Genomic DNA, 27,085 nt, shown 5'->3' with positions numbered 1-27,085 from the left:
CAATTGACTGCCATAACAAGATTCTTTATGGTTAATTCCCTTTATGCATCCACCTCCTACCCCCACTCCAATCCAGGATCCAATTCAGCACCCCAGATTACATGTGATTGTTATATCTCTTTGCTTTCCTTTAATTCACAACAATTTCTCGGATTTTCTATGTCTTTCACTAAACAAATAACGTGAGTGCATTGTTCCCACGTTTATGGACTGTAGCTTTGGTAGATAAGGAGAAAAATGGACTTTCCAGCTGGACACCAAGTCAGGTACATTATCTGTGGCCTCTCTTCCCATCAGGTCTCTGTGACCACCCTCATTAACTTAATGGAATTGAAGTCCTTCCGGACTCTACGAGCACTGAGGCCTCTTCGTGCGCTGTCCCAGTTTGAAGGAATGAAGGTACATTCTGCAGAAGAATGGGTAGAAGTTCAGTTAACAGAGAAAGGTGGAAAGACCAACAGTTCTTTTTGGGCTGAGATTTCCTTAAATTGCCAAGCTTTTCCTGGGTTACTTCCCAGCCTGCCCAGTGCTTAGAATTTGAGGGGTAGAGAAAAGCCTAAGATATACTTTCTACCCTAAAAGCTTCTGTGACAGCCAAGATGAGCTGTAGCTTTGCCTCAGAATCCTGGGGTAGGTGTCCATAAGTCTCTAACACTGTCATCACCAGGGCACTTCTCAAGGTATCCTCAGTGGCAACAGAGAGGACCCATTATGTAGGGAGCTGAGAGCAGGGCTTGTCATGGGGATGGGGCACATGTATGTGGAGATTAAGGACAGAGCTCCAAGAGATCAAGCCCTGCACATCAGGCCCATGCTGAGAAGTTGAAGAGCCTGGTGCATCCTACCCATCTGTTATGGTTTTCTTTGCTTTTGTTTCCATAAGGTGGTGGTCAATGCTCTCATAGGTGCCATACCTGCCATTCTGAATGTTTTGCTTGTCTGCCTCATTTTCTGGCTCGTATTTTGTATTCTGGGAGTATACTTCTTTTCTGGAAAATTTGGGAAATGCATTAATGGAACAGACTCAGTTATAAATTATACCATCATTACAAATAAAAGTCAATGTGAAAGTGGCAATTTCTCTTGGATCAACCAGAAAGTCAACTTTGACAATGTGGGAAATGCTTACCTCGCTCTGCTGCAAGTGGTAAGTACAGTCAGTATGTTTTTCACTCTGAGGAGAAAAACCTTCAGAGAATCATGAATTGTTTCTCAGCTAATAAAAATGCAGTGACTCCATTGTGATAATAGAAGCAAATCCTAATTCCTTATATGAAAGCCAATGCCTTCTGGAATTGTCCTCTACTGAGCATCTGCAACTTCATTGACTGCTGAGCCTCAGCTTCCTAGTGATGCCCCTTTAAGGATCTGTACATCTCACCTTGTCCTGTATGGCACCTTGCTGGCTCTCCACATCTCCAGGCAGAGAGGAGTGGAGCCTCAGGTGTAGGTCATGACACTTTGAACAGTTCCCTGTTTAAAGCACAGTTGCCAGGTCTTGAACAGGCAGTGCAAATACATATGGCATCAGAAAAGAACCCTTTAACTCTTAGCCAGTCTCTTTTCAGCTGTTGGGCCACAGCTTCAGCCTCTCTGGTAACTTTTAAGGTGGAAATTTCTTGTTTTTAAACTTTGTATCTTGTACAAATGAAGAAGAAGAAAAAAATCCAAGACACACACCCTTGAGTTCCCTTCTACTGTTCTTTTATTTGAGCATCCTGTCCTAGAAGGTTGGGGTATCATCTTATATATTCAGCCCACTGGGCCTCACCTGCTTTTCCATGCCATGTATCTGTTGATGGCAAGTCTACATTTGTATTATTCATGTTTTTCTGCTTTTGTTGCAGGCAACATTTAAGGGCTGGATGGATATTATATATGCAGCTGTTGATTCCACAGAGGTGAGTCAGTGTTCTACCATGTTCTGGAGTGTTATGGTCAAGTCAGAGATATCATGACTACATGGACAGTCCAGAACTGGCGTCATAGTTCCAGCAGCTGGGGTTCTCTGCCTTGTTTTCTTTGGAACAAAACACTATGAGATACCACTGCCTAATACAAAGGATTCTTATGCATCCTCTAGTGAGTATCTGATACCCCAGTATTCTCTGAAGTCCAGTCTTCTTTCTCCATGGTGGCCAAGGAAAAACCACTCATACAGGAGATGGAGCCAGAAGTGGCAGAATCACAGGATGCCTTGATTTTCTTCTTCCCTCTTCTCCAAATGGTTGGATAGTCAGAAACCAAATTTCAAAGAGTATCTGTTTTAGATTGTGGGAAACCTTAAGACTGCACTAAATTTGCAAGGGAGACCCTCGCATGGCTCCAGACTCCCTAGTGATGGCCAACTGTTGAATTTTAGAGTTTCTAGTGATGACCAGCTGTTGAATTTTAGTTAAAGAAAAGATAATCACAGATTCCCAAAGTTGGAATTGCACTCAGTAATCTAGCCTAGTTTCTATTTTCCAGCTTGGAAAGTTGAGGGATAAAAAGAAAGAGTTTCCCAAAGCCATAGAGTAAGCAGATGGTTGGCTCAAGAATGGAGTCAATGGCAGAAATTATTGTTTCCTATTATAGCACATGTGTGTGTTTCGACCTATTTGGGAGTCTGCAGAGTTGATGCCTAACACCTAAAAAGTATTCAGTACCTGTGAGCTGGTACAGACTGAGTATCCCTTATCTGAAATGCTTGGGACCAGAAGTGTTTCGGATTTTGGAGTTTGTAAGATTTGGGAATATTTGCATAATACTTACAGTTGAGCATCCGTGATCTGAAAATCCAAAACGCCACAGTGAGCATTTCCTTTAAGCATGACCTTTGCATGTTATGTCAGCATTCAAAAAGTTTCAGATTTTGGAGCACTTGAGACTTCGGATTTTCAGATTAGGGATACTCAGCCTGTAGTAGCAGTAGAAGTGGTTTGATTAGTGTTATAGCAGCACCGAGGGATAAGAATTAATCTTTATGGCCATTCCAGTTGTCATTATAAATTCACAGATTGTCATTATAAGTTAATATACAGATGATGCATAGCAACAAATCTGAGTTTGCTTAATTCTGGGTGTGTCAATAAAGTCAACTTTCTGGAAAGACAAAGGTAACAGTAGATACTTAACTGTTTATAACAATTATAGTTTACATTGTAATATTTATATATACAATGTAATTTTATAATTATATATACAACATAATTTTATAATTACAATTTATAGCAAAGGAAATATTTTAAAAATACTAATGTACTCATTTCTTTCGTCTTTTCGAGTACATGACCTTCACTCTAGTTTGGCTTTGACATCCATCTGTGCGGAGGTGGAGATGGGGAGTGGGGAGGAAAGGTTTTGCAGATGTGTAGTAGACAAGGTGTGTGGCTTGCAAATGCTCCAAGAGTGAGTGACAGGTGGGTGGAAGTGTGTGGAGGGGTGCCTGTTTTGATGCCGGTCCTGATATGTACTGGTTGTTGTATGCTGGCTTCTAGCTTGATGACTCTTGTCTATATAGTCACCCAGCACTCTGCTGGCCTCAAATATTGAAGTTGTGGTTGTTGAAACTGTGAGCGTTTTCCCCGTCATCTCCTCCTGGCCTTAAATACTGGTACTCTGCCATATCCTCCCCATGGTCCCTGGCAGTCTACTCCCATCCCTTGCTGCAAGGCCCAACATGACAGGCCCATGGCTATCAACTCCGTGTCCAAGCCACATGAGAACTGAGAGGTTCAAGAGACTTCTCTCTGTTCAATTATGTTACTCAAATCTCTTAAGTCAGCCTGCCTTCCTGATATATCTCAGGCCTTCCCAGTAGTAATTCCTTCCAGGAAATGCAGAAGTAAAGCAAGAATACCCTCTTTGCCTTCCATGTTTCCCTCAATTTACTGCATTCCAACCCCCCTTTCCAGACCCAAAGAGGGATAATCAGGACACACATCTTGCAGCTCTGATTTTCTGTCTCTGTTTATTTTTCCTACATTTCCTATGAACAAATTGGGTGAGCTTTGATAATTTCATCTTCTTGTCTAAATCTCCCTCCAATAAAACTCTCCACCTTCAAACCTTTGATTTAACAAAGAGGGACATGAAGGAGTACAGACATTCCTATATCTCAAAGCAGTAACCTAACATGCAAGACTATTAGCCCACTTGGCAATTTTATTTTAAATGTCTAATGCTAAATATTCTTTCCATTACGTTGTTTCTGTACTAATGTCTACCTTTTGTTCAAATAAATGGATGCCTCAAGCAAACTTGGACTAAAGTCAGGTAGTCTTCATAGCAAAAGAGAGAAATAATGTTTTCAAATAATTACCTTCATTACACTAGTCTACATTGTGAGTGTTGAATAACAAATACCATAAATGCATTAAACATTAGTCAGAGCTATCAGCACTTATATCTTTGATGTGATAGAGGGAAAAAAAGTGAAATCTTTTTGCCACCTGCCTGAAAGTGCTTGAAGCCAATAACAATGCAAAGGACTTGGATGAAAGGGCTCTTAGGTGATTTGGGTTGTATCTTAGACTAGGAGAGCTTGGTTGGAGTCCATTTGTGTCCATTTTAGAGCTCGATCATTTATTCATTCATTTAGATATTTATTCCATGTGTATCAAAAATCTACATATCAGAAGGTATGCTAGGCACTAGGAAGTTAAGAGTGAAAGGACATTACCACATATTAAGTAAAGCAGTGGGCTCTATATGGGGGTCATAGTAGTTCAACAACACTTAGTAGTTTAGTCACCTCTGCCCAAGGTGAACGTGCCCCTCCTCTGGTGGCCTCACCTCCAGTCAGGTTCCCTCCAGTTACATACCCATATGGACATTCCATATGGATGACTTTTTAAAAAGACAAATGTGATCATACCACTCATCTCCCTTACAGTCCCTCAATGATTCTCCTTTGCTTAGAATAAAAAGCCCGATTTTCCATCACCCCAGGTCCCCGCCACATGCCATCACTCAAGCTGAGCTGCAAAAACTGAAAGACAGGCTCCCAACAGGGGCTATGGCTGTTAGGAAGAGGCTATGTAGTCAATGTTGCTGCTAAGAAACACCTTGGTCTTCTAGATAAGGTAGTTAGAATGCTTATATTTTTCTCCAGTAATTGTTTTTTTCTCTTATTAAAAAAATTTCTAACAGAAAGAACAACAGCCAGAGTTTGAGAGCAATTCACTCGGTTACATTTACTTCGTAGTCTTTATCATCTTTGGCTCATTCTTCACTCTGAATCTCTTCATTGGCGTTATCATTGACAACTTCAACCAACAGCAGAAAAAGATAAGTATCTGGGTTGTCTTGATTTGGTAATTTTATCTCTGTCCTCCAAATGCATTAACAAAACATAATTCTGGCCTAGAATGTTATACAAAGTAGCCTTTATGATCTGCACAATAACAAGGAGGGAGCCTCCCATGTCTGCCTGGAGATGATCCTCAAAGATGAGGCTGAAAGAAGACTGAAAACATCTGGGTTTAATTAAGTCATTACTTTTATTCTCTTTTACCTTCTTAATCAATGGACATTGCTACTATTGAGATGAAACCCATTAATAACTGAACCCTAATAGAACAACAACCACCAGGATTAGTATTTATTAAATATGACACTAGGGTCATATTTTAATAACCTTTCAAATGCACTTTATTATCCACTATAAAACTAATATACTCTCCTTTTCCTGCCAGTGTGTCCTGGCCCCCAGCACCCAAGCCTCAGCAGATCTATCCACCCTACTCGGAAAGAAGATGATTGGGGAAGAGGCAGGGCTAGGGAGGTTTTCTTCCCTATGCATTGTAATAAACACATGTTTATTTTGCTGATTCTAAAATCCACAGGAGCTTTGTAGTGAATGTGGAAAATCAAGATAAAAAGAAAATTTAAATCACCCAAAGGTGGCCACCAAATGATAACCACTTTAGACCATGCCTCTTATGATTTTGATATAATCCATTCCAGTCACTTCGTATTACTTTTACACAGTTAGGATTACCTTATATTTTTAATTTTGTAGTTTTGACCTCATTAGTTATAAGCTTATGTCATAAAATTAACTTTGCTATAAGAATTCTCAGAGCCTCTGGCAGGGCGTGGTGGCTCATGCGTGTAATCCCAGCACTTTGGGAGGCCAAGGCGGGGAAATCACTTGAGGTCAGGAGTTCGAGACCAGCCTGGCCAACATGGTGAAACCCAGTCTCTACTAAAAATACAAAAAATTAACCAGCTGTGGTGGTACACGCCTGTAATCCCAGCTACTTGGGAGGCTGAGGCAGGAGAATTGCTTGAACCTGGGAGGCAGAGGTTGCAGTAAGCCGAGATCGCTCCACTGCATTCCAGCCTGGGCAACAGAGCGAGACTCCATCTCAAAGAAGGAAAAAGAGAAAAAAAAAAAAAAGGAATTCTCAGGGCTGAATTACATTGCATATTATGGATAGACCATAATTTATCCTGATCATTCCCCTCTTTGGACATTTATAGGTTGTTTTTAAATTTCTTGCTCTTCTAAAACAATTATGACCATTTTTAAAATTCTGTGTATCTCTGATTATTTCTTCAGCATAAATTCCTAGAATTACAATATTAAAAGCATTGAAGACATATTGTCAAAATACCTTCCAGAAATGCTGTGCTAGGTACCCTTATTCTGCAGAATATGAAAATGCATGGTTACTGAGATCTCATCATTCTAATTGTTATATATTTATTATCTTTTTTAGACTGGTGGGGAAAGTATTATCTCATTGTTTTATATTTATTTATTTGATCATTAGTGAGGTTACACACTTTTTCACAGGTTGATGGCCACAAGTATTTCTCCTTTAAGAGTTTTTTATTTATATCATTTGTCTATTTTTAAGTCTGAGATTGCATTTTTATATAAGTCCAATTTGTGACATGCATCTTATATTTTTGTAATAACATATTTAACTTATAGACATTAGTATTTTTCAGAGTCAAACTCCCAATCTTGTTATTTTTGGCTTTTTTTTAATTGTACTTATGAACTAAAGGCATTTCTCAATCCCCAAATCAAGTAACTAAATATTCTCCTTTGGTTTTCCTAATTGTTTTATGGCTTTCTTTTATTTTTCCTCTGGACTCTCATAATTCATCCAAAATGTACCTTGATACCAATTAGCCTTCTTAGCATCTGCTGGGAAAGTTGTTCCCTGTTGTTACACAAACTGTATTGCTTCTGCTACTCAGGAGTGTGTGATGTAGCATCCTCTCTGTAATATGCATCTTGATTGCTATCAATACCTGCAATTTGGATGTCAGTCTTTGTGATTTTAGATTTAAGCTTACATTAGAAATCATCGTTTTGAACAATCCACTATATCCTTTTGTTTTGTCTTGTTTTACTTTTTATTACAGAAAATCTCAAACATGCATAAGAGTGTACTAGAATTAACCTAAAATACCCATCACCTAGCACAACATTTATTGACTTAAGAATGTGCTTGTTCTAAGCCATATACGCCCTTACTCAACTCTGCCACCAGATTTTTTTTTATGGAGCAAACCACAGACATCACATCATTTGATTCATAAATATTTTAGAACACATCTCTTTTTAAACATAACCACAATTCCATTAGTACACCAAAAAGTTTAATGTGAGTTCTTTAAATTCATCAAATACCGAGTCTATTTTCAAATTGGTCTGAGCCTTTAATTTAAAAGAAAAATGTTTATTTATTAATTCTGTGTTTCATTTGCTTATTTGTTTCTGTTGAAGCTTTTTGTTTGTTTGTTTTCAAATCAGGATTCAAATACATAAGGTCTTTCCATTTGACAACTTTCTTGTTCTCTGAAATGCCACGATGTTCCAAGTTTAGGTTGTACCCTTCCTGCCCTAGTTCTGTAATCAGCTATTTCTCTAAAAACTGTTTGTTTCTTTGTGGGAAACGGTTTCCAAGACCACAGTCTAGAATGCTCATTGTCATTGTTTCTAAGCCTTTCTAGTGGACAGAGTTGCTTAAAATTCAGGACTACAAGGAAATATATAAGTGGAAATTTGCATACTGATTACTCAAATTCAGGACTACAAAGTTTTCACTTAACATCTATATCTCCCCCTTTCCACACTGAGAAACCTTATTCTCAAAGGCAAAGATGATAGAATTTAAAATTTCCACAATTACTCATTTTCTTTATCTCACAACACACATACACACACTACAGTCTCAGAATAGTGGTATTAATACTACTATGACATATATGATTACTAAAAGACTAATTTCTTCCCAGCATCCCAGAACAACTTGATTAATTTTTAGGTTGACTTCTAGGGCTACATATTTTTATCTGTGCTGGTGGAGTAAAGTCAAACCCCAAACCCTCATCAAAGTAAGCCTGAAGTCACAAATGATCAGGGAAGACTGGCTTTTTACTCATAGTCTGGATTGAGACAATTTTCTGGTTGTCTTCCATTACCAACAGACAGATTCGGGTTTTTTTCTTTACCCTTCTGTTGGCCACCTTTGGATAGTCCCATATTCTTGCAAAGACATCTGTGCCTCTCCTGTCTTTGCGTAGGCCTTATTTCCCATTACCCCCTTACATTTACTAAAAACTGAGATTCTAGTTTACAGAGATTAGTAAATGTTCTAAGACCAGCCATGGCTTTGGGCTAATTTACTAGTCTATCTTTTTGATCTCTCAATTTTCAGACCCCCAATTTTTTTCTTACTTTTATGCCAGTTCAGCTTTACATTTTAAAAGAATTCTGTTCTAGTTTATCTAGCCTTTCTAAATATTTTGCCCCCAAATTTCCAGATATGAGAATCCTAGTTCATTTTTCTATTCTTTCTTGCTCAGTAGTGAAAATAGTTAGAACTTTTTTTTTTCCCTGAGAGTGGCTCTGAACAGATTTTATGCAGCTTTGTTAGTAGTGTTATGTGTATTCATTATTTAAGAGAAATTCAATTGCCCTTTATGAGATGTTTGTCTAAATTTTTGTACTAATTTCTATTTTTGTTGCATCATGGTTTGATTTATGCAAGCTGAAATATATCAAATTTTTGTAAAGATTCTGTGTATATTTGCGAAGATTTGTAACCTTTCTGTTCTAAAAAGTGAAAAATAACTGATAAAGGTAACTTTATTTCTCCTGTATACCTTAACTTAAATCTTGTTTCTTTACAGCATTTCGCTATGGTCCAGTCTCTTAAGCTTACCATTGAAATTTTAAGAATTGTTAATAGAAATGTAATGTAACTTTAAAATTGTGTCAAAAAATTCAGAACTAGATTAAAAAAAAAACTGTTAAAGGTAATTAGCTCTTATCTTCTCCATATACTTAGGTGGCCAAGACATTTTTATGACAGAAGAACAGAAGAAATACTATAATGCAATGAAAAAATTAGGATCCAAAAAACCTCAAAAACCCATTCCACGGCCTCTGGTGAGAGCAATTGAATGACTGTAAATATGTAGAACAGTTGAGTTACTGTGAGGAACTCAAATTTCCGTAATGCCATCCTTCTTTATTCTTAAAATTTGCAGACATTAAGGACTCAACAGAAGTCAAGACATATTCAAACACTTAGGAAAATTAGATACTCAAACTCAAAAGTAAGAGCCTGGACAACAACTTAAATTTATTTTTGAGTGAGCCAGGCAATATGTGCTTAAGTAAATACTTATTGCGACCATGTGAACTTAGTGGTTTGTTTGAACTTAATTTTGACCAGTTTATTTTATTTTATTTCAGTAGTTTTTGGGGAACAGGTGGTTTTTGGTTCCATGTGTAAGTTCTTTAGTGGTGATTTCTGAGAGTTTGGTGCACCTGTCACCCAAGCAGTGTACACTGTACCCAGTGTGTAGTCTTGTATTCCTCACCCTCTTCCCACCCATCTCCTTGATTCCCTGAAGTCCATTATATCATTCTTATGCCTTTATGTCCTCACAGCTTAGGTCCTACTTATAAGTGAGAACATACAATACTTGATTTTCCATTCCTGAGTTACTTCACTTAGAATAATGGTCTCCAACTCCATCCAGGTTGCTGCAAAGGCCATTATTTCATTCCTTTTTATGGCTGACTAGTATTCCATGGTGTAGATATACCACATTTTCTTTATCTGTTCTTTGGTTGGCAGGCATTTAGGTTGGTTTCACATTTTTGCCGTTGCGAATTGTGCTGCTACAAACATGTGGTATGTGTAAGTGTCTTTTTCATATAGTAATTTCTTTTCCTTTGGGTAGGTACCTAGTAGTGAGATTGCTGAATCCAATAGTAGTTCTACTTTTGGATCTTTAAGGAATTTCCATACTGGTTTTCATAATGGTTATACTAGTTTATATTCCCACCAACAGTGTAAAAGTGTTCCCTTTTCACCACATCCATGCCAACATCTATTATTTTTTTGATTTTTAAATTATGATAATTCTTGCAGGAGTAAGGTGGCATCCCATTGTGGTTTTAATTTGTATTTCCCTGATAATTAGTGATGTTGAGCATTTTTTTTCTATGTTTCTTGGCCATTTGTAAATCTTCTTTTGAGAATTGTCTGATTATGTCTTTTGCCTACTTTTGGATAGAATTGTTTTTGTCTTGATGATTTGTTTGAGTTCCTTGTAGATCCTGAAAATTAGTCTTTTGTCAGATGCATAGTTTGTGAATATTTTCTCCCACCTGGTGAGTTGTCTCTTTACTCTGCTGATTATTTATTTTGCCGTGCAGAAGATTTTTAGTTTAATTAGGTCTCATTTATTTATTTTTGTTTTTGTTGCATTTGCATTTGGGTTCTTGGTCATGAATTCTTTGCCTAAGCCAATATCTGGAAGAGTTTTCTTGATGTTATATTCTATAATTTGTATGGTTTCAGGTCTTAGAGTTAAGTCTGATCCATCTTGAGTTGATTTTTGTACCAGGTGAGAGATGAGGATCTGGCTTCATTCTTCTACATGCAAATTGCCAATTATCCCAACACAATTTGTGGGATAGGGTGTCCTTTCCCCAGTTTATGTTTGTTTGCTTTGCCAAAGATCAATTGGCTGTAACTATTTGGCTTTTTTGGGGGGTTCTCTATTCTGTTCCATTGGTCTACATGCCTGTTTTTATACCAGTACCATGCTGTTTCAGTAACTATGGCCTTGTAGTATAGTTTAAAGTCAGGTAATGTGATGCCTCCAAATTTGTTCTTTTTGCTTAGTCTTGCTTTGGCTATGCAGGCTCTTTTTTGGTTCCATATGAATTTTAAGATTTTTTTTTCTAGTCCTGTGAAGGATGACGGTGGTATTTTGTTGGGAATTGCACTGAGTCTGTAGATTGCTTTTGACAGTATGGTCATTTTCACAATGTTAATTCTACCTATCCATGAGCAGGGGATGTGTATCCATTTGTTTGTGTCATTAATGATTTTTTTCAGCAGTGTTTTGTAGTTTTCCCTGTAGAGATCTTTCATCTCCTTGGTTGGGTATATTTCTAAGTATTTTATTTTTTTCTGCAGCTGTTGTAAAATAAATTGAATTCTTGATTTGTTTCTCAGCTTGGTTGTTGTTGGTGTATAGCAGTGCTACTGTTTTATGTACATTGATTTTGTATCCTGAAACTTTACTGAATTTATTTATCAGATCTAGGAGCTTTTTGGATGAGTCTTTAGGGTTTTCTAAGTATACAGTCATAGCCTTGGCAAATAGCAATAGTTTGACTTCCTCTTTTCCAATTTGAATACTCTTTATTTCTTTCTCTTATCTGATTGCTCTGGCTAGGACTTCTGAGTGCTATGTTGAATAGAAGTGGTGAAAGTGGGCATCCTTATCTTGTCCCAGTTGTCATAGGGAATGCTTTCAACCATTACCTGTTCAGTATGATGTTGGCTGTGGGTTTGTCATAAATGGCTTTTACTACCTTGTGCTATGTTCCTTCTATGCCAGTTTTGCTGAGGGTTTTATCATAAAGAGATGCTGAATTTTGTCAAATGCTTTTTCTGTGTCTGTTGAGATGATCATATGATTTTTGTTTTTAATTCTGTTTATGTGATGTATCACATTTATTGACTTGCGTATGTTAAACCATCCCTGCATTCCTGGTATAAAACCTGCTTGATCATGGTGGATTTTCTTTTTGATATGCTGTTGGATTTAGTTAGCTAGTATTTTTTGAGTATTTTTGCACCTATAGTCATCAGGAATATTGGTCTGTAGTTTTCTTTTTTGTTGTGTCCTTTCCTGGTTTTGGTATTAGGGTGATACTGGCTTCATAGAATGATTTAGAGAGGATTCCCTCTTTCTCTATCTTTTAGTGTTAGTGTAACCACCCTTGCCCCCTGCCTAGTCAGAGCCAATTTATCAAGATGGGGGAATTGCAATGGAGAAAGAGTAATTCACACAGAGCTGGCTGTGTGGGAGATGGGAGTTTTATTATTACTCAAATCAGTCTCCCCGAGCATTCAGGGATCAGAGGTTTTTAAAGATAATTTGGTGGGTAGGGGCTAGGGAAATGGGGAGTGCTAATTGGTCAGGTTTGATATGGAATCATAGGGGGTCGAAGTGAGGTTTTCTTGCTATCTTCTGTTCCTGGGTGGAATGGCAGAACTGGTTGAGGCAGATTATGGGTCTGGGTGGTGTCAGCTGATCCATCCAGTGCAAGGTCTGCAAAATATCTCAAGCACTGATCTTAGGTTTTACAGTACTGTACTGATGTTATCCCCAGGAGCAATTTGAGGAGGTTCAGACTCTTGGAGCCCAGGGGCTGCATGACCCCTAAACCTTAATTTCTAATCTTGTAGCTAATTTGTTAGTCCTGCAAAGGCAGACTGGTCCCCAGGCAAGAGCAGGGGTCATTTTGGGAAAGATCTATTATCAATTTTGTTTCAAAGTCAAGCCATGAACTGAATTCCTTCCCAAAGTTAGTTCAGCCTATGCCCAGGAATGAACAAGGACAGCTTAAAGGTTAGAAGCAGATGGAGTCCATTAGGTGTGATTTCTTTCACTATCATAATTTCCTCAGTTATAATTTTGCAAATGCGGTTCCATAAGTAGGACTGGTACCAATTCTTCTTTAAATGTCTGATAGAATTCAGCTGTTAATCCATCTGGTCCTGGACTTTTTTTTGTTGGTAATTTTTTTATTACTGTTTCAATCTTGCTACTTTTTGTTGGTCTGTTCAGAGTTTCTATTTCTTCCTGATTTAATCTAGGATGGTTGTATATTTCCAGGAATTTATCCGTTTCCTCTGGATTTTCTAATTTGTGCATGTATGTGTTTGTAGTAGCCTTGAATGATCTTTCGTATTTCTGTGGTATCAGTTGTACTATCTCCTGTATCATTTTTAATTGAGCTTATTTTGATCTCTCTTCTTTTCTTGGTTAATCTCACTAATGGTCTATCATTTTTATCTTTCCAAATAACCAGCTTTTTGTTTCATTTACCATTTGTATTTTTTTTGTTTCAGTTTAATTTATTTCTGCTTGATCTTTGTTATTTATTTTCTTCTGCTGGGTTTGGATTTGCCTTTGGCTTGTTTTTCTTTCTCTAATTCCTTGAGATCTGACCTTAGATTGTCTGTGAGTGCTCTTTCAGACATTATGATGTACGCATTTAATGCTACAAACTTTCCTCTTAGCACCACTTTTGCTGTATCTCAGTGGTTTTCATAAGTTGTGTCACTGTTATCATTCAGTTCAAAGAATTTTTAAATTTCCATCTTGATTTCATTGTTAACCCAAAGATCATTCAAGAGGAGATTATTTAATTTCCATGTATTTGTATAGTTTTGAAGGTTCCTTTTGGAGTTAATTTCCAGTTTTTTTCCACTGTGGTCTGAGAGGATACTTGATATGATTTCGATTTTCTTAAATTTATTATGACTTGTTTTGTGATCTATCATATGGTCTATCTCCATGTGATATGGAGAATGCTCCATGTGCTGATGAATAGAATGTATATTCTGCAGTTGTTGGGTAGAATGTTCTGTAAATATCTGTTAATTTCATTTGTTCTAGGGTATAGTTTAAGTCCATTGTTTCTTTGTTTAATTTCTGTCTTGATTACCCGTCTAGTGCTGTCAGTGGAATACTGAAGTCTCCCAGTATTATTGTGTTGCCTCATTACTTAGGTCTAATAGTGATTGTTTTATGAATTTGGGAGCTCCAGTGTTAGGTACACATATATTTAGGACTGTGATGTTTTCCTGTTGGACTAATCATTTTATCATTATATAATGTCCCTCTTTGTCTTTTTTAACTTTTGTTGCTTTAAAGTCTGTTTTGTCTGATGTAAGAATAGCTACTCTTGCTCACTTTTCATTTCCATTTGCATGGAATGTCTTTTTCCACCCTTTACCTTAAGTTTATATGAGTCCTTATGTGTTAGGTGAGTCTCTTGAAGACAGTAGATGCTTGGTTTGTATCCATTCTACAATTCTATGTCTTTTAAATGGAGCGTTTAGGCCATTTACATTCTACGTTAGTATTGAGATGTGAAGTACTGTTCTATTCATCATGTTAGTTGTTGCCTAAATACTTTGTTGGGTTTTTTAAAATTATGTTGTTGTTTTATAGGCCCCGTGAGAATTATGCTTTAAGGAGGTTTTGTTTGTTTGTTTGTTTTGTTTTGTTTTGGTGTATTTCAAGGTTTGTTTCATAATTTAGAACTCCTTTTTGCATTTCTTGCAGTGTTGGTTTGGTGGTGATGAATTCTCTCAGCATTTATTTGTCTGAAAAAGACTTTATCTCTCCCTCTTTTTATGAAGCTTAGTTTTACTGGATACAAAATTCTTGGCTGACAATTATATTGTTTATGGAGGCTAAAGATAGGACCCCAATTCCTTCCAGCTGGTAAGGTTTCTGCTGAGAAGTTAACTGTTAATCTGATAGGTTTTCCTTTATAGGTTATCTAATTCTTTTGTCTCACAGCTCTTAAGATTCTTTCCTTCATCTTGACTTTAGATAACTTGATGACTATGTGCCTAGGTGATAATCTTTTTGTGATGAACTTCCCAGAAGTTCTTCGAGCTTCTTATTTGGTTGTCTAGATTTCTAACAAGGCCAGGAAAGTTTTCCTCAATTATTTCTTCAGATAAGTTTTATGAACTTTAGATTTCTTCATCAGGAAGACCAATTATTCTTAGGTTTAGCCATTTAACATAATCCCAAATTTCTTGGAGGCTTCATTCATTTTTTAAACTTTTTTCTTTGTCTTTGTCTGATTGGCTTTTAATTCAAAAGCTTTGTCTTTGAGCTCTAAAGTTCTTCTACTTGTCCTAGTCTATTGTTGAAACTTACCATGGCACTTTGCATTTCCGTAGGTGTTTCTTTCATTTCCAGAAGTTGTGAGTATTTTTTCTTTATGATATCTATTTCTCTGGAAAATTTTCTTATCCATATCTTGTATTGTTGTTTAAATTTCTTTAAGTGGGTTTTCACCTTTCTTTGGTATCTCCTTGATTAGCTTAATAATAAATCTTCTGAATTCTTTATCTGGAAATTCAGAGATTTCTTCTTGGTTTGGATCCATTGCTGAGAAGCTAGTATGATCTTTTGGAGGTGTTATAGAACCTATTTTGTCATATTACCAGAATTACTTTTCTGGTTCCTTTTCACTTGGGTAGACTATTACTTAAAATTGTTCTTGGATTTATTTTTAATTGAACTGTGTTTTTTAAATTTAAAATATTTTCCCTCTTTAACATCAGGACAGTGTGTATTTTAGCCTAATTTGATTATTGGTGCTTGTAGGAGTAAAGACTCTGTATGAGATCCTTAGTTATAAAGAGTCATTGTGCACTGGCTTTCCCTGATGCTGGTTGTAGTAGTTACTGTCTTAGTGTGCTGGCAAGTTCACTGTCTCCTATGGAGTTGGAATGGCAGGGATCTCTTGCAGCTTATCTGGTTCTCTCATGGTGTACATTTTTATTTATTTATTTATTTATTTTTTCCCAGTGTTTTATTTACTGACTTGATGATTCAGGCTTCAGGCCAATAGAGAAGGTATCCCTGAGTAGGCATTGGCTATGGCTAAGGCAGGTGGGTAAATGTAATACCCAACAGTGGGCTGAGGTCCCAGCCTTGATGAAGGTGGCTGGGAGACCTCTCAGTTAGATGCGCTGAGGTTTTATCAGGGTGAAGAGTAGAAGCTACCTCAGCTCCTCTGCCAGGTCAGCCAGAAAGCTATTCACCTCACAGCCTCACTCCTATCCCAGTGTTTTGGCTGTTCAGATCAGACAGCCACCTCTTTTCATCTGTAGGAATGTTGATGTTCCAAGTAGGGAGGAACTGTGACTCTGCCTCTCACACAGCCTGAATCTAGGGTGTGCTCCTTCTCTGGGGCCGCACTCACCCTGGATTGTTCCAGACAGGCTGTCTATAGATGCCTCCATACTGTGTTCCTGTGGGGGAAGCCCCAGCTGTGTCTGCAGTGAAGTGCCAGAGGAAAACAAGGACCTCTTTTCTAAGGCCCTTCACAATCACAGAGGATGCCTGCCCATTGGGCTAGAGGTGCAGACTTTCCCTACTGTGCCAGCACTGCAATTGTGTTTCTGCTGTGAGAAACTACCCACCAGCAGAAAGATCTGGAACTCAAGACCTGCTCTTCAGATTCTTTTGTCCCACAGGGTGATCCCCTGATGTGGTGCACTCCCCCTTCCCTAGGGATGGGGCTTCCTGAAAGCCAGACTGCAGTATTGTTATTGCTCTTCTGGTTCTAGCCACCTGGCAGGGCTACTAGGCTCTGGGGTGGTGCTGGGGAATGTTTGCAAAGAGTCCTGTGATGTGATCTGTTTTCAGGTTTCCCAGCTGTGGATACCAGCACCTGCTCTGGTGGAAGTGGCAGGAGAGTGAAGTAGACTCTGTGAGAGTCCTTGGCTGTAGATACATTTAGTATGCTGGCTTTCTCAAATGCTGGTTATGCTAGCAGTGAAGTTGTCACGTGGACAGACTCAGGACCTCTGGTTAGTCAGGATGTTGCAGGCAGTAGAATTAGCTGTCGTTTTCTCCTTCCTGGGATCAGGGCTATTCTGTCATGAATTGCAGTCATGTCCTGAGTTGGTTGACCTCCAGCCAGGAGGTGGTGCTTTCAAGAGAGCACCACTGTGCTATTAGCAGTGGGATATACGCTTGCCCTAAGTTGGCCAGGGGAGGTATTCTGACTTTCAGGAGACAGGCAGAGCCATAAAACTCCCAAGGGTTTATGTCTTTTGTGTTCAGCTACTAGGACAGGTAGAGAAAAACCATCAGGTGAGGGCAGGGTTAGGCAGGTCCAAGTGCAGACTCTCCTTGAGTGGGGCTTGCCATAACCACTGTGGGGGATGAGGAAGTGGTCCTCAGGCCAATGAGGTTATGTTCCAGAGGGGATTATGGCTACCTCTGCTGTGCAGTATAGATCACCAGAGAAGTGGGGGATAGCCAGTAGTGAAAGGCCTCGCCCAGCTCCCACACAGTTGGTGAGGCTGGTCTTGCTCCTGCAGTACCGTGCTAACTGCACCAAGTTTAGATCCAGGCAGCCTACTCAGGGATCTCAGACCTGCCCCAGGCCATAAGCTTCCCTGCTGACAAAGCAAGCATGGCTTTCAGGCCACATCCCTCCCTGTCTGCCCACAATGTCAGCAGCTCCTGCACTCGTATCTGCAGCAACTCCCGTTAGCCCCCTGGATTCTGCTCAAGGAAGTTTGTGCCCAGTCGAAATTATCACAGAATCTAGTTGGAAGTTTCTTTCACCCTATGGCCCCTCCTTTTATTTGGCTGGCTGCCTTCTCAGAAGACCCCTGTGAGATACAGTCAGGAATGGCATTCCAGGGCCCAAGCTGGAGACTGGGAGTACCTTCAAGGTTCCTGTTGCTTCTTCTACTTTTGCACTTCATGCAGCTCCCTAAAGTCATTTCAGCTCTAGGTAAGGTTACAACCTTCTCTCGTGATCTGCATTTTCAGATTCCCCAGTGGGGATGTGTGTTTGGAGGCAGGTTTTCCCCCCTCTCACTCACACTTTGGGAACTCACGGCTTTTCACCTGTCTCGTGCAGTCTGCAGTGGCATGTCACTTCTTTCAAAGGATCTGTGAATTCTTCTGGTTTTCCTGTTACGTTCCTGCGGTGGTTCTTGAAGCAAAAGTCCACAGTGTGAGTCTCCACACACTGTTCTGTCCATCCAAGTGCGAGATGCACGTTAGCCCTGCCTCCTATCTCCCATCTTCCTGTTTTTGCTTTTTTCAATTTTGATGAGTTTAAAATGTACTTGTAATACTTTTTACCAGTTTTTATTAGTGTGAGGTTAAGGTCATGCATACTTACTTCCACTTTACAAGTATTTATGATAAACTTTGTATATCAGGGATTGACAGACTTTTCCTTAAAGGCCCAGATAGTAAATATTTCAGTCTTTGCTGGCTATATGTCTCTGTCATAGTACTCAACTCTGCCATTGTGGTACAGAAGCAGCCATAGACAATATAGAACAAATAAACATGCCTGTATTCCAACACAACTTTATTTAGGGACATGGAAATTTGGATTTTATATAATTATCATATGTCGCAAAACTTTATTCTTCTTTTGATTTTTTTTTTCACCAAACATTTAAAAATGTAAAACCCATTCTGAGCTCATGGGCTGTACAATAACAGATAGGTCACTGGATTTGTCCTATAGGCCATGGTTTGCTGATCCCTGTGCTCTATGAATCCTGCTTTATCAGGTACTATGGGGCAAGATAGAAGTAGCATCCAGGGCAGCTCTGTGCTTGCAGTCTAATTGAGGAGCTGAGATGTTGTATACATACTTTAGAGCATTGGGTTATAAAGTAGTACAATAGGCACAACAGAGTTGGTAGCTCTGACAAGTGAGTTTGAATGCTCCATAGCAGAGCAGGTCAGTGGAGGCTGAAAAGTCAGGGAAAGCAGGATGAAAGAAGGGCTTGCAATCGGAAGCATGCAGATAATTTGGAGGTTTCCATTTGAACATGAGATCGCAAATGATGAATGCAGTCTACTTACTGCTATTCTCGGCACCCAGAATAGGGCCTGGCATAAAATGTGTTCTCAGTAATTATTTATTGAACAAAAAAATATGTTTTAAGGCACAAACAGAGTCCATCACACTAAAATGAAGTATTTTTGATGCACTAAAAAAGTCAATGAATGTCAGGGCCAAGGATTTAGAATTTATCTTTTATATAGTGAGAGATTTTTGACCACAGGGTTAATGATAAAATTATATTTGGGGAGGTTTAATCTGCCAGCGGTTTATGGGACTTCAGTTTACCTAAATTGAATCTAGCTTTTAAATACCAATCTCACTTTCTAGTACTAATTTCACTTTAAAATTCTTACTTGAACTTGAGCCAACAACAAGAAAAGAGAGAATTTTTGTTTACATATGCATGCTATACAACCACTGACTCATTATCAGTTGGTCTTGGGTTTGGCATTAACTAAAAGAGTCACAAGACACAATATGTTCTGACATATTTATCAGTTTATTTCAAGCAACACAGCACACAGCCCAACAAAAGTTGCAACACATAGATGCACTGCACAGAGCATGCTAGGCTGCAAGAGATGAACTGAAAGTGGGTGCAGACAACATTAACATAGGAAAGCTGTCACCTCCATTCCTTAGCCATCTTTTATAGCATGCTTATCACATGGCTTATCTGGAAGTAGGTGCAAAATCACAGCTCTCCCTGTGTAGCTACAACTCACCAATCAAGCCTTCAATGAATGATTCTGGTAATCAAATACAATCTCACCACCTAACACTGCACGTTTATCTTGACTTTTATATTCCAGATTAGTGTCGCATGAGATAAATCCAACATCATATCACCAGAAGTCCCTGAGTCTGGGCTTAGACTTTAAATCAACAGTTAGCCATTGACCCACAACTTTATCTCCCCAGAGATTTTTTTTCCATCTCTAAAATCCAAATATTAGCTTTTGACCCTCGAAACAAACGAAGAGCAATTGCATAGGTGGAAAACATAGCTGTTTTAGCCTGAGCATTGATGCATTTCATTTCCAGTAATAGAACAAGGGGTTTGGAATCACTTCGATTTCTCCTGAAGCATCTTCACAGGGTGGCTTCATTTCTTGGTTTAAAATTCATACTGAGGTATAGGAGTCACACTGCGTTCTGAAGTGACATAGAATGCTTTTTTTGATCATCCAACACTTTAGGTAATCCAACACTTTAGGTAATTTATGCTCTTAATCTCCTCTATTTGTCTAGATGTTAGAGTTAACTATAAAACCAATACTCACCCTCCCTCATATTTCTTTTTGCCCTTCATTCCGCTTCCCTGGAGTGCACCTTTTCTCCAGCTCCTTTCTGACTTCCCAAATTCATGCTTAAATAGGAAAGGCACTTGACTTTCTAGTGTCTTCTCCTGGCTCTTTGATAAAAGCCTTGGGGCTCCCAGCACATGGTTCGAAAGTCACAACTGAAATGTAGTGTCCTCCAGTGTTGTCCCTACCCTCCTTCCTCTCATTGCCCTTGCTCTCCCCAAGTGATATATAATTCACTCCCGTGGTTTTAATTCATATCAGTATTAATGTCATCTGTATTCTAGCTTCTGTACCTGCACTCCAAACTCATACTTCTACCTGCCCATTGCCCTTGGACCCCCCACTGGCACCTCAACTCAACCTGCTCAGGTCAGATCTTATCATCTCTCTTTAATATTCCTCATCCTCTGTTCTCTGGCTGGTTAGATGGTTTTATCAACCGGAAACTATATTCTCAGTCTTAACTTTCTCAAAGCCCACTACATTTGAATTCTCTGACGGTTCTTGCTTCCACCTCACATTAGCTCTTAAGCCTATATGCTTTTATCTTTATCTGCTGTCACCACCACAAGCCAACATCATCTTTGCCTGGATTATATAACAGATCCCTTGGGTGTCTAAAGATGTATTCTTAGGAGTATGTGAGTTCTCTAAAGATAATAGTGTATGCCACTTTGATTAGGTGATAATATAATATAAAACAATATGTACACAGATTGTAAAGCAACCAACGTATAGTCAAGAATGTTATAAAATTTCAATGTCTGAATTTGTATTTAGGAATAGTTTTCCACAAAGTGAAGAACAAAGTAGTGCTTCACAGCAGTTGTATTAAAGAAAATAATGGAATAATTGAGTAATTTCACTGCATATGGTAGACTTGGCATGCAAACTTGAGTTAGGACCTGTACCTGAACAATCAGCATATACTCACTTTTTGGGCAGTATGGCCATCTATATATAAACCACATGTAAATTCACCCTCAGTTATAGTATAAATTAATCATTTTTTTCTATTTTCAGTTTTAGTAATTATTGGATTATAATCTCATCTATTAGCTTTATCTTCAAGTGAACAAGAATTTTAAAATTGGCATTGAAGAATTATTTGAATACAGAATTTTGGTTAAGTTCTGATTATTGTGAATTGGCAAATGGAGCATTGAAGATACTAATTCCATTTTGTCCAACATACTTATGTGAGCAGGTATTCTCTGCACTAATATTGTTGAAGTAAGAATACAGAAACAGATAAAATATAGATACCAAGATTCATCTTTTTATTATTAAATCCAACATGCACTGTTTTATTTCAGCAAAGCACATCATCAATCACATCAAAGTTATGTTGTTACTAAGACTTTTTAATATTTTTTGTTTTAAAATGGAATTAAAGCTATAAGCCCAAGCACTTAAAACCAGTTACTAATTACATTTTAATGAAAATATATAAGGCAAGCCTGGGGATTTATAAGAATTTCTTGCCCTTTGAAAAGGGTCTGTGTATTTTTCAAGGAACTGCTTTAATTGTAAGGAAAAACAAATTCTGTTGTATTTATGTTCTTTTTATTGTATGTAATTTTATTCTTGCATTCAAAATGATTTATAATTTCTTTTTTTTCTCAGAACAAATGTCAAGGTCTCGTGTTCGACATAGTCACAAGCCAGATCTTTGACATCATCATCATAAGTCTCATTATCCTAAACATGATTAGCATGATGGCTGAATCATACAACCAACCCAAAGCCATGAAATCCATCCTTGACCATCTCAACTGGGTCTTTGTGGTCATCTTTACGTTAGAATGTCTCATCAAAATCTTTGCTTTGAGGCAATACTACTTCACCAATGGCTGGAATTTATTTGACTGTGTGGTCGTGCTTCTTTCCATTGTTAGTAAGTAAAATCAGCAGTCAGAGGGACTTTAAGAACCAGAAGTAAGTTTGTAAATCTTATCATTTTTTGAAGTTTGTTCAAACTATCCACAAAGCAGAAAACTGGGCCAAGTGTACTTTCTGAAAGAATAGACAGGGGTACTAATGCCATTCTCTACTGGGAAGTTGCTAGGAGATAGAGAGTAATTTCTGTTCCCTTAACTCACTACACAACTGAAATAGAGTTCAATAATCATGCAGCTAATGTATTCAATGGAAATAGACAAAATTAAAATGACTCAGAAGTTTTTGTGGTGGTAACCTGATTTATTCAGATAATTGAGTCAAAGTTCTACCTTTCCTGTGCAACTATAAGCCCTATGAGCATTTTTTAGTTTTAAGGATTTACTGCCCATGTTTTTTCCTTTGTTCAAAATCCACATGGGTGCCAGATCACAATTATTGTGCCCCTGTGGCACTGCTGTGCCCCCTTTCAACCCCTATACAAGGCCCCATGGCCCACTCTAGATTGGGCTTTCAAGAGTATATCATTCAGACAATCAAAGCTTTTTTTCTATTCTATATCCCATGTTAACTTAAACCACAGTGTGAACTGTGCTTGTCTCAGATTCTTTGACCCCGCTTACCAACCAGCCTCATTCTCTAATCAGTATATTTTTCCTAATCACACGCAGGGTTAACTAAAAGGCTTATAAAAGAATACAAAAGAAAGAAGGTTATTACCATACTCCTTCTTATAAAACACACACATACACACATCAACTTTAAAATTAAATTCTTCATGGCTAAACCATAAGTGCTTACTCTGGGTTTTTGAAGTCTGGTTTTAATTAAACTGTTAACTTGACATTTTATAATTATGTAAAACTGTCCAGGAGCCCTTCTCATAGTTCAAAACACAATGAAGACAAAGAAAACTGATTTTCCAAATGGAAGCTTTTTTGCGATCTCAGAAAGAATGCATCAAACAGATATATTGGATCAAGATATTTTGGTTCCTAATGCTACTGCAGCATTGCAGATGTTTCAGAGAACAACAACAAATATGCTACAGTTCATAGTGTGTTCTGGTTTCTAAGCCATGATGTTAATGTAGATAAAGCTTATCAATAGATTCTTCCATGAGTTTACAGTTAAGTAGACCTTTAATTTTTATTAGTCAATTCCAATCACAAGTCTTGGTGAAATTGACAGCAGCAAAAAAAAAAAAAAAAAAAAAAAAAAGGGCTAGAAAATGGTGGTCAGATGTCTGGGGAGGCCCTCTAAGAACTCAAAGAGCCCTTCCTCTGATGAGAAAAGAGAAGCTCATTCATTCCAACAGCTCCTTCCATGCAGTGCCAGGCATCATGCACTTTGCGGAAATGTTTCTGACTTTTGTCCTTTGAACAACTGCTTGGCAATTGCAGTTATACATGCTGTATGGCATTTGCCCCAGTGGATGAGAAAATCTACATATTAAGCCAAATAATACTCAGCGGTAGGATTAATCCATATATTAATCCTACTTACTAATGTGGACAGAGTTTTATATGCCTTTGCCAATATTTCTGCCGTCCAACGCTTTAGCCTCAGTACTTTTCCAAGCTCTTTCCTAAGTTTTTGGAGAAATGCAAAATGAGTGTGAGTTGAAATGAATCTCTCTCTAGGAGTTAACAATCTAGTTGAGGTATTACGGCTTACTCGTCTTAAAGTGCCAAAAAAAGATAGGGAAATTAATTGAACACCAAATCACATGGTGCAAAGCAGAAATGAGCTCAGAGAAAGAACAGATTACTATGGGCTTGATCAGCCCAAGAAATATTCATAGAGGAGGTAGATCTTAAATGATGGGCCTCCTCCAGTTGTTGCTGAATTGGCACTTAAGAAACTTTACATCTTTCCAGGGTTGACTTTCCAATTAAAGTATGAATTAAACTTCTTTGGCACAATTGGGTAGTCAGTGAAGTATATAATCAACTAGTTCTCTTTAGTCATTAGGTGACAGCAGAGCATTCTGCTGCCCATGAACCCTAATAGACCCCTAGTGACCTTACAGGACACTCAAGGTCATTAGGGGTCATGGGCACTCAAATACTGCCCATGACCCCTAACAACCCTAGAAGACTCTCAAAGCAAGAACAAGGCCATGTCTACACAAGACAAGCATGTTCCAACCATTCTATAATGTTTAGGCCAAAATGTGAATTGTCTTAAATCCTTGTATCACTTGCCTGCAGAGCAGGCAGGGCGACATTTTAGGTCAAATATTCAGCTGTTTGATCAAACCTCTGAAATGACATTTATGGGGTTTGCAGCAACAGAGAAAGTATCTCCAAATTGTGTCCCTTCAGCTTTTTGAGTTTGGATCTCAGAAGTCCTTGGAATGAGGATGACAATTATGAAAGATCCATGGGCAGCTTCAGCCTAAAGGTGAGCATTCCAATGCTACCATTTCCCTCTAGCCCTACAGACATTGTGGCTCTTTCAGCAGATAAGCTGTCCTCACTTGTAGTAGGGCTGTATTTAAATTCTTCTACACACAAATGTAGAAGAACTGTATGGCCCTTGGAAACTATTTTCCAAATTAAGACACAGATAGGTATTTTCCCTGATAGTGGTAAAAGAAATTCTTAGTTTTGTACATAAGCTACAAAGTATTGATAAAAAGTTGGCCCCCATAGGATTCTGAGGCAGGAGACAGGCTGGATCTGAAACCAGTGTGCCTTCTGGAAACTTATTTACTTTTCTCCTTCTCCTGAGGTACAATGATTTCTACCTTGGAAAATCAGGAGCACATTCCTTTCCCTCCGACGCTCTTCAGAATTGTCCGCTTGGCTCGGATTGGCCGAATCCTGAGGCTTGTCCGGGCTGCACGAGGAATCAGGACTCTCCTCTTTGCTCTGATGATGTCGCTTCCTTCTCTGTTCAACATTGGTCTTCTACTCTTTCTGATTATGTTTATCTATGCCATTCTGGGTATGAACTGGTTTTCCAAAGTGAATCCAGAGTCTGGAATCGATGACATATTCAACTTCAAGACTTTTGCCAGCAGCATGCTCTGTCTCTTCCAGATAAGCACATCAGCAGGTTGGGATTCCCTGCTCAGCCCCATGCTGCGATCAAAAGAATCATGTAACTCTTCCTCAGAAAACTGCCACCTCCCTGGCATAGCCACATCCTACTTTGTCAGTTACATTATCATCTCCTTTCTCATTGTTGTCAACATGTACATTGCTGTGATTTTAGAGAACTTCAATACAGCCACTGAAGAAAGTGAGGACCCTTTGGGTGAAGATGACTTTGACATATTTTATGAAGTGTGGGAAAAGTTTGACCCAGAAGCAACACAATTTATCAAATATTCTGCCCTTTCTGACTTTGCTGATGCCTTGCCTGAGCCTTTGCGTGTCGCAAAGCCAAATAAATATCAATTTCTAGTAATGGACTTGCCCATGGTGAGTGAAGATCGCCTCCACTGCATGGATATTCTTTTCGCCTTCACCGCTAGGGTACTCGGTGGCTCTGATGGCCTAGATAGTATGAAAGCAATGATGGAAGAGAAGTTCATGGAAGCCAATCCTCTCAAGAAGTTGTATGAACCCATAGTCACCACCACCAAGAGAAAGGAAGAGGAAAGAGGTGCTGCTATTATTCAAAAGGCCTTTCGAAAGTACATGATGAAGGTGACCAAGGGTGACCAAGGTGACCAAAATGACTTGGAAAACGGGCCTCATTCACCACTCCAGACTCTTTGCAATGGAGACTTGTCTAGCTTTGGGGTGGCCAAGGGCAAGGTCCACTGTGACTGAGCCCTCACCTCCACGCCTACCTCATAGCTTCACAGCCTTGCCTTCAGCCTCTGAGCTCCAGGGGTCAGCAGCTTAGTGTATCAACAGGGAGTGGATTCACCAAATTAGCCATTCCATTTTCTTTTCTGGCTAAAATAAATGATATTTCAATTTCATTTTAAATAATACTTACAGAGATATAAGATAAGGCTACTTGACAACCAGTGGTACTATTATAATAAGGAAGAAGACACCAGGAAGGACTGTAAAAGGACATACCAATTTTAGGATTGAAATAGTTCAGGCCGGGCGCAGTGGCTCATGCCTGTAATCCCAGCACTTTGAGAGGCCAAGGCAGGTGGATCACGAGGTCAAGAGATCGAGACCATCCTGGCCAACATGATGAAACTCCGTCTCTACTAAAAATACAAAAATTAGCTGGGCATGGTGGCGTGCGCCTGTAGTCCCAGCTACTTGGGAGGCTGAGGCAGGAGAATCGCTTAAACCTGGGAGACGGAGGTTGCAGTGAGCCAAGATCGTGCCACTGCACTCCAGCCTGGTGACAGAGTGAGACTCTGTTTCAAAAAAGAAAAGAAAAGAAACATGGTTCAAATTATATCTAAACAAAAAAGAATAAGAAACAAAAAACACATTAAAATTTTAAGTTGTATTTTCTATGTTTCTAGATACATCATTTTTGTTTGATATTTTCCTGATGCAAGTATGTGGTTTATCACATGTAGCTCTTTTGCATGCTAAATGAAAATTCAAAACTTGCCAATAAATGAATAGCTTATTGCAGACATTTTTTACCAACATTAATTATTTTGGGTTTGTTTAAAACCTAGAGGCACAATCTTGACTTGTCAATTACTACCCTTTCACAAGCTACCATCTCAGATATATATATATATATAAATTCAATAAAGCTTTCTGTTTGTGTTCCTTTCAGGTAGTACACTAATATTCCCCTTTTGTTCAGTGGTTGTGTGAGTAGTGGTTTAAATGTGGTGCTTTGCTTGCAATTAAAGACTAGAACCAGTGGTGTATCTGACAAGTGTTTAACAACTGACTGTTCAGGAAAAAGAAAGCCATGCTTTATAGCATTCACTAATCTCTGTGGTGTGAGTACTCCCATTATGGCTGATTTCAAGCTATCAACATGTTACTGGACGTGGAGTTGAGAAGAGATGCTCATAATAAGTTCT

At 38.6% G+C, this 27,085-nt stretch overlaps 1 protein-coding gene across 7 annotated transcripts in view, besides 1 other annotated feature; it reads left to right on the top strand.

The window, feature by feature from the left end:
* Window positions 1–26,828, top strand: part of SCN11A (sodium voltage-gated channel alpha subunit 11) — a 206,181-nt gene extending 179,353 nt beyond the window's left edge. For all 7 annotated transcript variants that reach the window (NM_001349253.2, XM_047447378.1, XM_017005650.2 and 4 more), the window contains 7 exons: window positions 298–399; window positions 884–1,147; window positions 1,848–1,901; window positions 5,134–5,271; window positions 9,293–9,397; window positions 21,841–22,111; window positions 24,850–26,828. In NM_001349253.2, the coding sequence (NP_001336182.1) occupies window positions 298–399; window positions 884–1,147; window positions 1,848–1,901; window positions 5,134–5,271; window positions 9,293–9,397; window positions 21,841–22,111; window positions 24,850–25,898 (1,983 nt within the window). In that variant the 3' untranslated portion in view covers window positions 25,899–26,828. The remainder of the gene's footprint in view (window positions 1–297; window positions 400–883; window positions 1,148–1,847; window positions 1,902–5,133; window positions 5,272–9,292; window positions 9,398–21,840; window positions 22,112–24,849) is intronic.
* Window positions 510–1,709: an enhancer, noted in NCBI's record as "CDK7 strongly-dependent group 2 enhancer chr3:38912374-38913573 (GRCh37/hg19 assembly coordinates)". NCBI's record gives its function as "activates an origin of replication core promoter dependent on BRD2, BRD4, P300/CBP, MED14 and CDK7 cofactors, with strong dependence on CDK7, by STARR-seq in HCT116 cells {active_cell/tissue: HCT116}" and the evidence as "EXISTENCE:reporter gene assay evidence [ECO:0000049][PMID:35650434]".

This window comes from Homo sapiens, chromosome 3 (genome assembly GCF_000001405.40).
Source record: "Homo sapiens chromosome 3, GRCh38.p14 Primary Assembly".
NCBI classification, from domain to species: Eukaryota; Metazoa; Chordata; class Mammalia; order Primates; family Hominidae; genus Homo; species Homo sapiens.
This window is presented reverse-complemented; position numbering and strand designations above follow the sequence as displayed.